This window comes from Homo sapiens, chromosome X (genome assembly GCF_000001405.40).
Source record: "Homo sapiens chromosome X, GRCh38.p14 Primary Assembly".
NCBI classification, from domain to species: domain Eukaryota; kingdom Metazoa; phylum Chordata; class Mammalia; order Primates; family Hominidae; genus Homo; species Homo sapiens.
In genome coordinates, this window is record NC_000023.11 from 153,894,429 (window position 1) to 153,907,284 (window position 12,856).

Below are 12,856 nucleotides of genomic sequence, written 5' to 3' on the forward strand. Positions count from 1 at the left end.
AGGTTGCAGTGAGCCGAGATCATGCCACTACACTGCATCCTGGGCAACAGAGCAAGACTCCATCAGAAAGAAAGAAAGAAAAGAAAGAAAAGGAAGGAAGGAAGAAAGGAGAAAGTGACAGATTAAGCACATACATTCACTTTCTCTTCCTCATGAAATCCCACCAAAATGACAGTAAATGACTTTTTAAAAAGAAAAACTCCCAAGGACAGAAATAATGGGAAAATAGAAAACAGCAGCAAAATCATGGGAGCTGAATTTCACTGCGGAACCCACACGCATCCAGAAAATGGGGGTGAGTATGGAAGTGCCATTAAAAGTCTGTTGAAGAGGCAGTCAGATCTCCACATGCTTTTCCCCATCCCAACGGAACAGAATGTTTATTCTTTGGAGATGATGAAACAAAGAGTGTTTCAAGTGGGGAGTACCAGGAACAGCTTAGATGGCACCATACTAAAAATGAGGGGGTTAAATAAATATTTACCTACTGAATTTGGACCACTTTGGACCCTCCTGGCCCACTCTGTTTCTCAAGTGCTGACAACCAGCCTCAGGCAGCAGGCTAAAGATCTATCTCTGGGTATTTGGCCATCCCAAGGTGAACGAAAAGGTAGTAAAATTGGGGTTCTCCAATAAAACCAGCCCCGCTACATCATCCTATGATGAAGCTCATAGTTGACATGTCCTTCCTTTTCAATCAGCTCATTAGTGCCCCATTCTTTTTTTTTTTTTTTTTTTGAGACAGAGTTTCGCTCTTGTTGCCCAGGCTGGAGTGCAGTGGCACAATCTCGGCTCACTGCAATCTCCACCTCCCGGATTCAAGCGATTCTCCTGCCTCAGGCTCCCAAGTAGCTGGGACTACAGGTGCGTACCACCATGCCCAGCTAATTTTTGTATTTTTAGTACAAACAGGGTTTCACCATGTTGGCCAGGATGGACTTGATCTCTTGACCTCAGGTGATCCGCCCACTTCGGCCTCCCAAAGTGTTGGGATTACAGGCATGAGCTGCCATGCCCAGCCTGCCCCATTCTTAAATATGAGAAGACAACCAAGGATCACCAGACACCTGAGGAAAACCTTTAGCATGAAAGCAGGAAAGATCAAAATCAAAACAAACAGGAAAACAATTGTTGGGAAACACGACTATGAGAGGTAATAATTTTTAAAACTAGGCTGGGCACGGTGGCTCACGCCTGTAATCCCAGCATTTTGGGAGGCCGAGGGGGGCAGATCACAAGGCCAGGAGTTTGAGACCAGCCTGACCAACATGGTGAAACCCCGTCTCTACCAAAAAATACAAAAATTAGCTGGGCGTGGTGGCGCATGCCTGTAATCCAAGCTACTCAGAAAGCCGAGGCAGGAGAATTGCTTGAACCCAGGAGGCGGGGCTTGCGGTGAGCTGAGATTGTGCCATGGCACTCCAGCCTGGGCGACAGAGCGAGAATCTGTCTCATAAAAAAATTTTTTTAAAAAGAATTTTTAAAGCTATTAACTCACTCAGGGAGATAATAGAATGTAAAAATATCCATGAATCAAGAATAGGATGCTATAAAAAAGGAACATTCAGCGAACAAACAAGAGTTTTTTGTGGAAGCATACATGAAAAATTCAATAGATGGATATTTTTCTTCTAACAAAATACAGAAAGTTGCAAGACAACATCACTCCCATCCTAGCTACAAGAAGCTGGATAACCTACAAATCATAGGATTTTTTTTCTTTTAAGGCTATCGGGAAGCTGAGGTTGGGGGGAAAAAAAATCAAAATCTTGAAAAGCCCTTTCTAGGAGAAAAGAGCCCCATAGCTGCTTTGATTTTTGGCACAGCAGCAGCAGGAAGAGGAGGCTGCCACAGACTTGTGTACAAAAGAAACAGAGAAACTCTGAACACATTTTAAAAGGCTGAGTGTGCGACGGCATGAGGCTATAGACTCTCTAATGCCTCCCATTCAAGAGAGCTTACATTCACCCACTAACTCTTTTGCATGGGCCTTCACCAAGAAAGTTTGAAGGCAAAGCAGGTGGGCCGAAAGATACTCTCCGAGGTAGACATGTGCTCAGGCTGCTGAAGTCTGGATGCAGGACAAGGGAACCGACAGGAACCCCCCTGGGGCTCCTGACCTTCCACTGAGTACAGAGCAGCTGTAACTGGTGAATGAAGCAGGGCAGGAGGACTGAAGAGTTCATCCCCAGGCTCTAGGAAGTCTTAAGGCAGGACAGAAGAACTGAAACAAACCTTCCGGTTGATTCTAATCCTTACACTGAGTACAAACCAGAAGCGAACTGTGGTTGGAGTGGAGGCAAAAGACCTACAATAGGCACCCGGGAATGTGCGCTCAGGGATCTGCTGAAGTCTACGGGTGAGGCAGGAGAATCAAAGAAACTCCCAGCCACTCAGATCACAAGTCCCACCAAAGAGAATGTTCTGATCCTGCTCTGAAATCATTCGAAGTATACAGAAAACTGAGTCTACGCAAAGCAACAAGAAACCCCAGACTCCACTTAACTACACACCAGCCTCTAATACACACACACGCATGCACACACTAATGGCCTGACAAGAAGGGTCATGCCCTTTTTGGGGCATAATTTTATGTGTATCTTCCCCACTGTTCTATTACATATATTTACCCCAGGAGGGATAAATATATATGATTATTTACTTCTTAAAATAGAAATAGGCCAGGTGTGGTGGCTCACACCTGTAATCCCAGTACTTTGGGAGGCTGAAGTGGGAGGATTGCTTGAGCCCAGGAGTTTGAGAACAGCCTGGGCAACATGGAAAGACCCTGTCTCTATAAAAATACAACAATTAGCTGGGTATGGTGGTACATGTCTATAGTCCCAGCTACTCAGGAGGCTGAGATGGGAGGATCCCTTGAGCCCGGGAGGTCGAGGCTGCAGTGAGCCGTGATCATGCCACTGCACTCCAGCCTGGCTGACAGAGTGAGACCCTGCCTTAAAAAAAAAAAAAAAAAGGAATTTGGGAAGGGCTCACCTGGGCAGTCCTGGCCCAGGTCTTTCATGTGGTGGCTGTCAGATGGTGGCCCTCTTCATATTGCCTCAGAGCCTTTTTTTTTTTTTTTTTTTTGAGAAGGTGTCTCACTTTGTTGCCCAGGCTGGAGTGCAGTGGCGGGGTCTCAGCTCACTGCAACCTCCGCCTCCCGGGTTCAAGCCATTCTCCTGCCTCAGCCTCCCGAGTAGCTGGGATTACAGGCGCACGCCAGCACACCCAGCTAATTTTTGTGTTTTTCAGTAGAGACAGGGTTTCACCATGTTGGTCAGGCTGGTCTCTATCTCCTGACCTCTTGATCCACCCACCTCAGCCTCCCAAAGTGTTGGGATTACACGTGTGAGTTACTGTGCCTGGCCTCAGAGCCATTTTCTGTGGTCCTTCCATGATGGCTGAATTGGGCTTCCTTATAGCATCAGGGAAGTTGGAATGCTTACATGGTGGCTAAAGGCTTGAAGAGTGAGTGTCCCTGTTAACAAGGCAGAAGCTGCATTACCTTTTCTGCACTAGCCTCAGAAATCAATCAGCACCACTTTTACCATATTATCTTGAGTACAAGAAAGTCACAAGCCTGCCCAGATTATAGGGGGGAGGGTTAAATTCCACCTCTTGATGGGGAAGTGGCAAGGTTCCAGGAGAGCATGTGGGATGGGAGATATTGTTGGGGCTACCTTTGAAAAACACAATCTGCCACACACACCAGTTAAAAGGCAGAGACTGTTGGGCTAGATAAAATAGCTATATGTTATTTACAAGAAGCACATTTGAAGCATAAAGACACAGACATGTTGAGAGTAGAAGTATGGAAAAAGATATACCAAGCAACCACTGAGCATAAGAAAGCTGCCATGGCATCATACTAATATCAGGTAGAGCAGAATTCAAGACAAAGAGTTTACTAGAGATCAAGAGAGACATGTCATAATGAAAAAAGAACACATAATCAAGAAAACACAACCATTTCAAATATATAAGCACCTAATCTACCAAATATATGAAACAAAATTTATAGGACTAAAGGGTTCTAGATACAGATAAATCTCCAAACATACTGGCCAACTTTAACATTCCTTTCTCAGTAAATGATAAAACAAATAGGAAAAAAATCAGAAGAATATAGATTTGAACAACACTATCAACCTAATTGACTCAATTGATATGTACGGAACACTACATCCAACAACAGCAGAACACATATTCTTCTCAAGTGCAGATGGAACCCCAACCAACACAGACAACTTCTGGGCAATCGAGCAAGCCTCAATAAATTACAAAGGGTCAAAATCATACAAAGTACGATTTCTGACCAAAATGATGTTGAATTAGAAATCAACAACAAAAAGACATCTAGGAATTTTCTAAATATTTTGAAATGAAAAAATATCTACTTCCAAATAACCCAAGAACCAAAGAAGAAACCACAAGTAAAATTATTGGTAGAACATATCTTTCACTGAATAGAAATGCAAATAAAATATGAAAATTTGGGAATTCAACAAAACAACTGATTAGAGGAAAAGGAACTACTTATATTAGAAAAGCAGAAAGGTCCCAAAATAATTATTTAAATTTCTACTTTAAGAAACTAGAGCCGGTCACGGTGGCTCACACCTGTAATCCCAGCACTTTGGGAGGCCGAGGCAGGCAGATCATGAGGTCAAGAGATCGAGATGATCCTGACCAACATGGTGAAACCCCATCTCTACTAAAAAATACAAAAATTAGCTGGGCGTGGTGGTGTGCACCTGTAATCCCAGCTACTCAGGAGGCTGAGGCAGAAGAATTGCTTGAATCTGGGAGGCAGAAGTTGCAGTGAGCCAAGATCACACCACTGCACTCCAGCCTGGGCAACAAGAGCAAAACTTCGTTTCAAAACAAAACAAAACAAAAAGATCAATGAAATTGATAAGCCTCTAGCCAGACTGATCAGAAAAAAAAAATGGAGAGAAGATACAAATTACCAATATGGAGAATAAGAGAGAGGGGGCATTATTACAGATCCTACAAACATAAAAAAGTGATAAGAGGATGTTGTGAAAAACTTATTCCAATACATCCAACAACTTAGATGAAATGGACAAATTCCTTGAAAGATACAAATGGTCAACGCTCATTTAGGAAAAAATAGATAACCTGATTAGCCCTGTATCTGTCAGAAGAGTTGAATTTATAACTGAAAAAATTCTCACAAAGAAAACTCCAGGTTTGTGTAAATAATACCAATTCTATACTAACTCTTCCAGAAAACAGAAAAAGAGAGAACACTTCCCAACTCGTTTTATAAAGTCAGCATTATACTCATCCCCAAACCAAAGATATTACAGAAAGGGAAAACGTAGACCAGCATCTCTCATTAATACAGATGTAAAAATGGTAAACAACAGCCAGGCACAGTGGCTCACACCTGTCATCCCAGCACTTTGGGAGGCCAAGGTGGGTGGATCAGAGGTCAAGAGATCGAGACCATCCTGGTTAACATGATGAAACCCTGTCTCTACTAAAAACACAAAAATTGGCCGGGTGTGGTGGCTCATGCCTGTAATCCCAGCACTTTGGGAGGCCGAGGCAGGTGGATCACCTGAGGTCGGGAATTCGAGACCAGCCTGACCAACATGAAGAAACCCCGTCTCTACTAAAAGTACAAAATTAGCTGGGCATGGTGGCGCTTGCCTGTAATCCCAGCTACTTGGGAGGCTGAGGCAAGAGAATCTCTTGAACCTGGGAGGCGAAGGTTGCAGTGAGCCAAGATCTCGCCATTGCACTGCAGCCTGGGCAACAAGAGTGAAACTCCGACTCAAAAAAAAAAAGAAAAAAAAGAAAAAAATTCAATACTCACTTGTGATAAAAGCTTTCAGTATACCGGGTGACAGAGTGAGAGACTATGCCTCCTCCCCACCAAAAAAAATATAAAAAAAAAAAAGAAGTTACACAAAATACTATGTACTCTTTTATTTATTTATTTATTTTTATTATTATTTTTTTTTGAGACGGAGTCTTGCTGTGTCACCCAGGCTGGAGTGCAATGGCAAGATCTCGGCTCACTGAAACCTCCGCCTCCCGGGTTCAAGCGATTCTCCAGCCTCAGCCTCTGAGTAGCTGGGATTACAGGCTTGCGCCACCACGCCCGGCTAATTTTTGAAAATACTACATACTCTATGATTCTATTTATATAAAATTCTAGAAAAGGAAAATCTATAGTGATAGATCAGTGGTTGCTAGGCTTTCAGGTAGGGGAAGAAGCTTGACTGCAAAAGGCCACGAGGGAACTTTCTGGAATGTCGAAAATATTTATTCTATGTCATGATTGTGGTTGTGGTTACACGACTGTATACATTTGTCAAATCTTACTGAACAGTACAATTACAATTAATGAATTTTACTGTATGCTAATCATACCTCAATAAAGCCGAAAAAAAAAAAAGTCATTCTGGAGGAGAGAAATCATTGCCTGCGGAGGGCCATTCCAGGGTGGTGAGTGCATGAGCACTGAAGACACCCGGAGCAGCTGCTGCAATAATCTGGGGGAGGAACGTGCAGGCAGAGAGAGCAAGAGGAAGTCAGACTGGGAAACCCCGAGGCAGTTACCCAAACAGCCCACTAACAGCAACTGCAGTCGGCCGCCTCTGGGGAGGAAAGCGGGAGGGGCCACTGCCTTTAAAAAAGAAAAAAAAAAAAAATCTCTGCAGTTTTGCCAGGGAGCCGCCTCCTGCCTGACTCTCACATGATGACCTGGAGGCCATCTATGGGTACGGCCCTCAAGCCCTCAACGCTCACCCTCCTTCTACCCCCCGCCCCTCACCCCAGCACCTGCTGGAGACCCTGGCCCTCCCTTCCACTCCGCGAGGCTCTTAATCTATCCAGTTCCATGGGCTGCCTTTCCGCAGCTATAAACAGGCTCTGTCCAGCTTTCCCAGTTATTATTCACTTAGGTGAATGGACACAATTAGATGATCATCCGCAGGCTGTCTTCCTGTCATCATTGGCACACGCACACACCCTCACACACGCACACACCCTCACACACGCACACACCCTCACACACGCGCACACCCTCACACACAACCCCCCCAACGCCACACACACACACACCACACACCCTCACACACAACCACCCACGCCACACACACACCACACACCCTCACATGCACACCCTCACACACCACACACCACACACACCCCACACACACGCCCACCCTCACATACGCACACTCTCACACACACCCTCACACACTCTCACACCCTCACACACGCACACCCTCACACACACCCTCACATTCACACAAGTACACTTGAGTTTTTATTAAATTTGTTTTTGTCCCCTTCAATCCCATCCTCCAACCCGTTGTTCCTCCCTATCTCCTGGGCTCTAGGTATTCTCCTTCGGGTCACAGTCCCTGTGAGGGCCGTTCCTGTTGACAGGCACTTGGCTCCGTCCTTCCCACTGCCCACAGGCTCCACCATCTGCACATGCACCCCTCCCACACAATCGGGGGCCTCTTTCTCCTCGTCCTTGGCTGCCTCCTCTTTGTCTTCCACCCCTTACAAATCCTTCAGGGCCCTTTAAATGCCTTTTCCACCTGCCTGCTCCCTCTAGCCCCGCTGCCCAGTGTTAAGTGGGTCGCACCATTTCTCTCCTGGGTGACAGGCACAGCTTCCACCAGCCTCCCTGCCTCCACTCTTCTCTGCAGAAGCCCATGTGCTCCTGGGGCAGAGCCCAGGTCCTTCCATCTCTGCAGCCACAGTGCTAGGCCAGCGGCACTTGCAGTTTGGTGAATGGAAGGTTCTGATCATGGGGAACCGGTAGATAGAGAGGGACAAACAGTGTCCCCCCAATCTGCCTCCTGTCCTCTTCTGCCCAGACACTAGGCTGGAAGATCAGGAGCCACACCTTGGCACTCACAGAGCCCTTTCTGCAAGTCTTAGAGGGACCAGTGGGAGGTGTGCACACAGGGGCTGCGCTGGCAGGAGTGGGGGCCTGGCACACCCCCAGGTAGATGCCCTGCCCGTTAACGCCCAAGGGCAGGGGCTTGAGTGACTCATGTGGGCCTAGCGTGAATCAGCACAGTCTGCCCTTCTTCCCATGGGAGCTGCTGCCCAGCCCCATCTTTCTTGGCCCCCGAGGGGTGGCTGCCCAGGGCCTCTCTCCTGGCACAGTTCCATGTAGTGCCTGCCCATGTGGCTCCCAGTTCCTCCCCGGGGTCCTGGCTGAGCAGAATGGCACTGGATCCTGATCTGGCTTCTTGCATCCCAGAGGAGACCGCCATGCGGGCCCTTCCTCCAGATTCTTCCCTAGTTTAACAACAGGAAGCGAGGAGTCCAGGGGGGCAGAGATTGCCACGGGCCTGGCCACATTGCTAGGGGAGGTCCCAACCTGCTGCTGAGATCCGGCACTGCACAGCCTCGTTCAGGCAGAGAAACTGATAAGGAGATGGTTGTCTGCTCACCCCAAAAGGTTAGCATGGATTCCTCGCCCTAGCCGGCTTTAGACGGAGGGAACAAAGGCTTTCCCAAGGCCCTGCCAGTCCCCACCCCTGCCCATCTTACCACCGTAGTCTCCCTCAATCATCAAGTCCCATTGCACAGAAGGGGAAGCTGAGGTGCCAAGAGCTGGCGTGGCCTGTTCAAGGTCACACTACTGGGCAGGGGCCAAGCAGGGGCTGGAGCCTTGCTTTCCTATTCCCCAGCCAGGGTCCCCAAATTCTCTGCCAGTTGAGGGAAGCCATCTCCTATTCCACTGATCTGGGTGGCATTAGGAAGGCCTTTTCTATGCTCCTAGATTAGTGACAGCATGCGGTTATTGGGGACAGCATGAGGATGTGCATGCGCTGAGGAGATGCAGCTGAAGCGTCAGGCCTGGGGTGCCAGCACTCTGCAGCCTGCCCCCAAGGGGCTCTGCAAAAACATGGCAAAGATGCGGGGTGTGATGTGCACCTGTGTGTGCTGCGGGTGTGTGCGTGTGTGGTGTTGGCTGTGCGTATGTGGTGTGTATGGCTGTGTGGTGGGTACATGTGTGGGTGTGTGGCGTATGGGAGTGTGTGATGTGTGCATGTGTGTGGTGTGTAATATATGTGTGCATGGTGTGGTGTGTGTGTGGTGTGGCGTATGGGTGTGTGGTGGGTGCATGTGTGTGTGGCGTGTGGCTGTGTGCATGTATGTATGTGGTGTGGTGTGTGCGCTGTCTCTGGAAAATGCCCACCCTGTGTTCCCACCACCCTAACAGGGCCGGGAGGGGCCAGGGTGCTGCCAGGCTCTCTGGGCAGGAAGAGGAGGCCTTGGCCGCGGGCCGGACTTGGGCCTGGTCCGTGAGGCTGTTTTGGTCTCTGGCTTCACAGGCAACAGAGAAGACAGACAAACAGGAAGAAAGCAGCTGCCTTGGGCTGGGCTGGGCTGGGCTGGCCTCGGCTGAGCCAAGCCAGGCCTGGGTGCGGGGGGAGTGGAAAGAGAACTACTGGGATGGGGGCTGGAGGGGGTGTGGGGACAGGGGAAGGAGAGAGGTGTTGGGGGAGGGAGGAGGAGGGCTCAGGTACAGGGAAGGTGCGTCCATACTCATGGTATGTTCAAGAACATGAGCGAGCGTCTCTGTGTTGTGTGTTTGTGGCTGTGTGGCTGTATCATGTGAGGTTGTGTGTGGTGGGAGGGAGCCCGTGAGCACACGGAGGTCCCCAGCCCCTCTTCCTAGGACAGGTAGTTGCAGGTGGGGCAGGAGGAAGAGGGTGGGGGTGTCCCTGGATCTCACAGGGGTTCGTGAAGCCTGGCTTGGCCCCTGCCCCACTCCTCCCTTTCCTGTCCCTCGTCTCCGGCCAACTGGGCCCTAACTGGGGAGGAGGAGGGGCCTGCGTGGGCCTGGGAGGGGCCCAGCGAAAGTGTTTTCACCCCTTCCTTGCCTGGGCCCAGCGAGGAGCAGGAGGACCCCAACTTGGGAAGGGGGCGTGAAGCTCCCATGAAAAAGCAGCGCAGTCCTGGGCCAGACCCACCGCTCTCTGGCCTCAGTTTCCCCACTTATAAAATGGGAATGCTGAACTAAGTGACCTCCCAGAGCACTGCCAACCCAGACAATCCAACCAGGGGGGCGTGGTAGGGTGAGGGTGGGCGTGGAGGCTATGGCAGTGGGAGGAGGGAGTCCTGGGCCGGGACCAGGGAGGCCCTGGGGAAAGGAAGGGAAACAGGAGGCCAGGGGAGGCCTGGGGGAAAGGGGGAGGGGGAGGAAGTCCCCTCCTGGCCAGGTCACTCCCAGAGGCTGGGCTGGGCCAGGGCAGGGCAGCCGATGGAGAGCAGATCTGAGCACCCAGCCACCTTCACGCCACCGCCCAGCTGCCCAGGAGCCCAGCCAGGTAAGGGGCTGCGCCTGCCTGCCCCCCTGCCCAGTCCCCAGCCCTCGGATGGTGGCCTCTCTCGGCCTCGGTTGGGGCAGGGGAGTTCTGCGTGTCTGTCTGGGGTGCCCACTCCCAAACCCGGGACTCATGGGCTGCCTGGGGGATCCTGGGTTCTGTGCATCCGTCTGTCTGACCATCCCTCTCAATCTTCCCTGCCCAGGACTGGCCATACTGCCACCGACACGTGCACACACGCCAACAGGCATCTGCCATGCTGGCATCTCTATAAGGGCTCCAGTCCAGAGACCCTGGGCCATTGAACTTGCTCCTCAGGCAGAGGCTGAGTCCGCACATCACCTCCAGGCCCTCAGAACACCTGCCCCAGCCCCACCATGCTCATGGCGTCCACCACTTCCGGTAAGGCTTGCCCCTCCATGAGTCCGGTGGGCAGAGTGGGTTTGACGATTCAGGGAAGCCCCTCTTTCTAAAGACCTCCTTCACCCTCACCTCTGGGTGTGTCTCTCCAGGCTGCCAATGAGTGGGGAGGGGAGCACAGCCCCACTTCCCCGCCAGGGCTGGGGCTGGGGCTGGGGCTGGGGCTGCCCTTCCTTCTGGACTGCATGAGCCTGGGGTGTGTATCCCTCATAACATGGCTTTCCTGGAGTCCCCTCTGCTAGGAGCCAGGAAGTGGGTGTCCGGATGGGGGCACGGGAGGCAGGCCTGAGTCCCCCTGCACAGCACCCTCTCTAACCAGGCCCTCTTCCCGACTCCTTCCCAGCTGTGCCTGGGCATCCCTCTCTGCCCAGCCTGCCCAGCAACAGCAGCCAGGAGAGGCCACTGGACACCCGGGACCCGCTGCTAGCCCGGGCGGAGCTGGCGCTGCTCTCCATAGTCTTTGTGGCTGTGGCCCTGAGCAATGGCCTGGTGCTGGCGGCCCTAGCTCGGCGGGGCCGGCGGGGCCACTGGGCACCCATACACGTCTTCATTGGCCACTTGTGCCTGGCCGACCTGGCCGTGGCTCTGTTCCAAGTGCTGCCCCAGCTGGCCTGGAAGGCCACCGACCGCTTCCGTGGGCCAGATGCCCTGTGTCGGGCCGTGAAGTATCTGCAGATGGTGGGCATGTATGCCTCCTCCTACATGATCCTGGCCATGACGCTGGACCGCCACCGTGCCATCTGCCGTCCCATGCTGGCGTACCGCCATGGAAGTGGGGCTCACTGGAACCGGCCGGTGCTAGTGGCTTGGGCCTTCTCGCTCCTTCTCAGCCTGCCCCAGCTCTTCATCTTCGCCCAGCGCAACGTGGAAGGTGGCAGCGGGGTCACTGACTGCTGGGCCTGCTTTGCGGAGCCCTGGGGCCGTCGCACCTATGTCACCTGGATTGCCCTGATGGTGTTCGTGGCACCTACCCTGGGTATCGCCGCCTGCCAGGTGCTCATCTTCCGGGAGATTCATGCCAGTCTGGTGCCAGGGCCATCAGAGAGGCCTGGGGGGCGCCGCAGGGGACGCCGGACAGGCAGCCCCGGTGAGGGAGCCCACGTGTCAGCAGCTGTGGCCAAGACTGTGAGGATGACGCTAGTGATTGTGGTCGTCTATGTGCTGTGCTGGGCACCCTTCTTCCTGGTGCAGCTGTGGGCCGCGTGGGACCCGGAGGCACCTCTGGAAGGTGGGTGTAGCCGTGGCTAGGGCTGACGGGGCCACTTGGGCTTGGCCGCATGCCCCTGTGCCCCACCAGCCATCCTGAACCCAACCTAGATCCTCCACCTCCACAGGGGCGCCCTTTGTGCTACTCATGTTGCTGGCCAGCCTCAACAGCTGCACCAACCCCTGGATCTATGCATCTTTCAGCAGCAGCGTGTCCTCAGAGCTGCGAAGCTTGCTCTGCTGTGCCCGGGGACGCACCCCACCCAGCCTGGGTCCCCAAGATGAGTCCTGCACCACCGCCAGCTCCTCCCTGGCCAAGGACACTTCATCGTGAGGAGCTGTTGGGTGTCTTGCCTCTAGAGGCTTTGAGAAGCTCAGCTGCCTTCCTGGGGCTGGTCCTGGGAGCCACTGGGAGGGGGACCCGTGGAGAATTGGCCAGAGCCTGTGGCCCCGAGGCTGGGACACTGTGTGGCCCTGGACAAGCCACAGCCCCTGCCTGGGTCTCCACATCCCCAGCTGTATGAGGAGAGCTTCAGGCCCCAGGACTGTGGGGGCCCCTCAGGTCAGCTCACTGAGCTGGGTGTAGGAGGGGCTGCAGCAGAGGCCTGAGGAGTGGCAGGAAAGAGGGAGCAGGTGCCCCCAGGTGAGACAGCGGTCCCAGGGGCCTGAAAAGGAAGGACCAGGCTGGGGCCAGGGGACCTTCCTGTCTCCGCCTTTCTAATCCCTCCCTCCTCATTCTCTCCCTAATAAAAATTGGAGCTCATTTTCCACATGGCAAGGGGTCTCCTTGGATCCGGGTAACGGTGGGTGTGGAGGCAGCACAGAGACATACACAGACTCCCCACACACACCCACAGTCACGTGCACAGCTCTGGAATCCATGGCGCAGG

General features: G+C 52.2%; 1 protein-coding gene across 3 annotated transcripts; it reads left to right on the forward strand.

The window, feature by feature from the left end:
- AVPR2 (arginine vasopressin receptor 2) lies at nucleotides 8,197-12,738 on the forward strand. Of its 3 annotated transcripts, none has more exons than NR_027419.2 (4): nucleotides 8,197-8,464; nucleotides 10,546-10,742; nucleotides 11,591-11,988; nucleotides 12,095-12,738. NR_027419.2 is itself a non-coding variant. In NM_000054.7 (4 exons), the coding sequence occupies exons 2-4, from the start codon at nucleotides 10,718-10,720 to the stop codon at nucleotides 12,298-12,300; spliced, it is 1,116 nt and encodes a 371-aa protein (NP_000045.1). In that variant the 5' UTR covers nucleotides 10,245-10,343; nucleotides 10,546-10,717; the 3' UTR covers nucleotides 12,301-12,738. The 3 variants fall into 3 exon arrangements, 2 of the variants coding, with proteins under 2 accessions (NP_000045.1, NP_001139623.1); NM_000054.7 differs by lacking the exon at nucleotides 8,197-8,464 and adding an exon at nucleotides 10,245-10,343 and having other exon boundaries at nucleotides 11,104-11,988; NM_001146151.3 differs by lacking the exon at nucleotides 8,197-8,464 and adding an exon at nucleotides 10,286-10,343 and having other exon boundaries at nucleotides 11,104-12,738.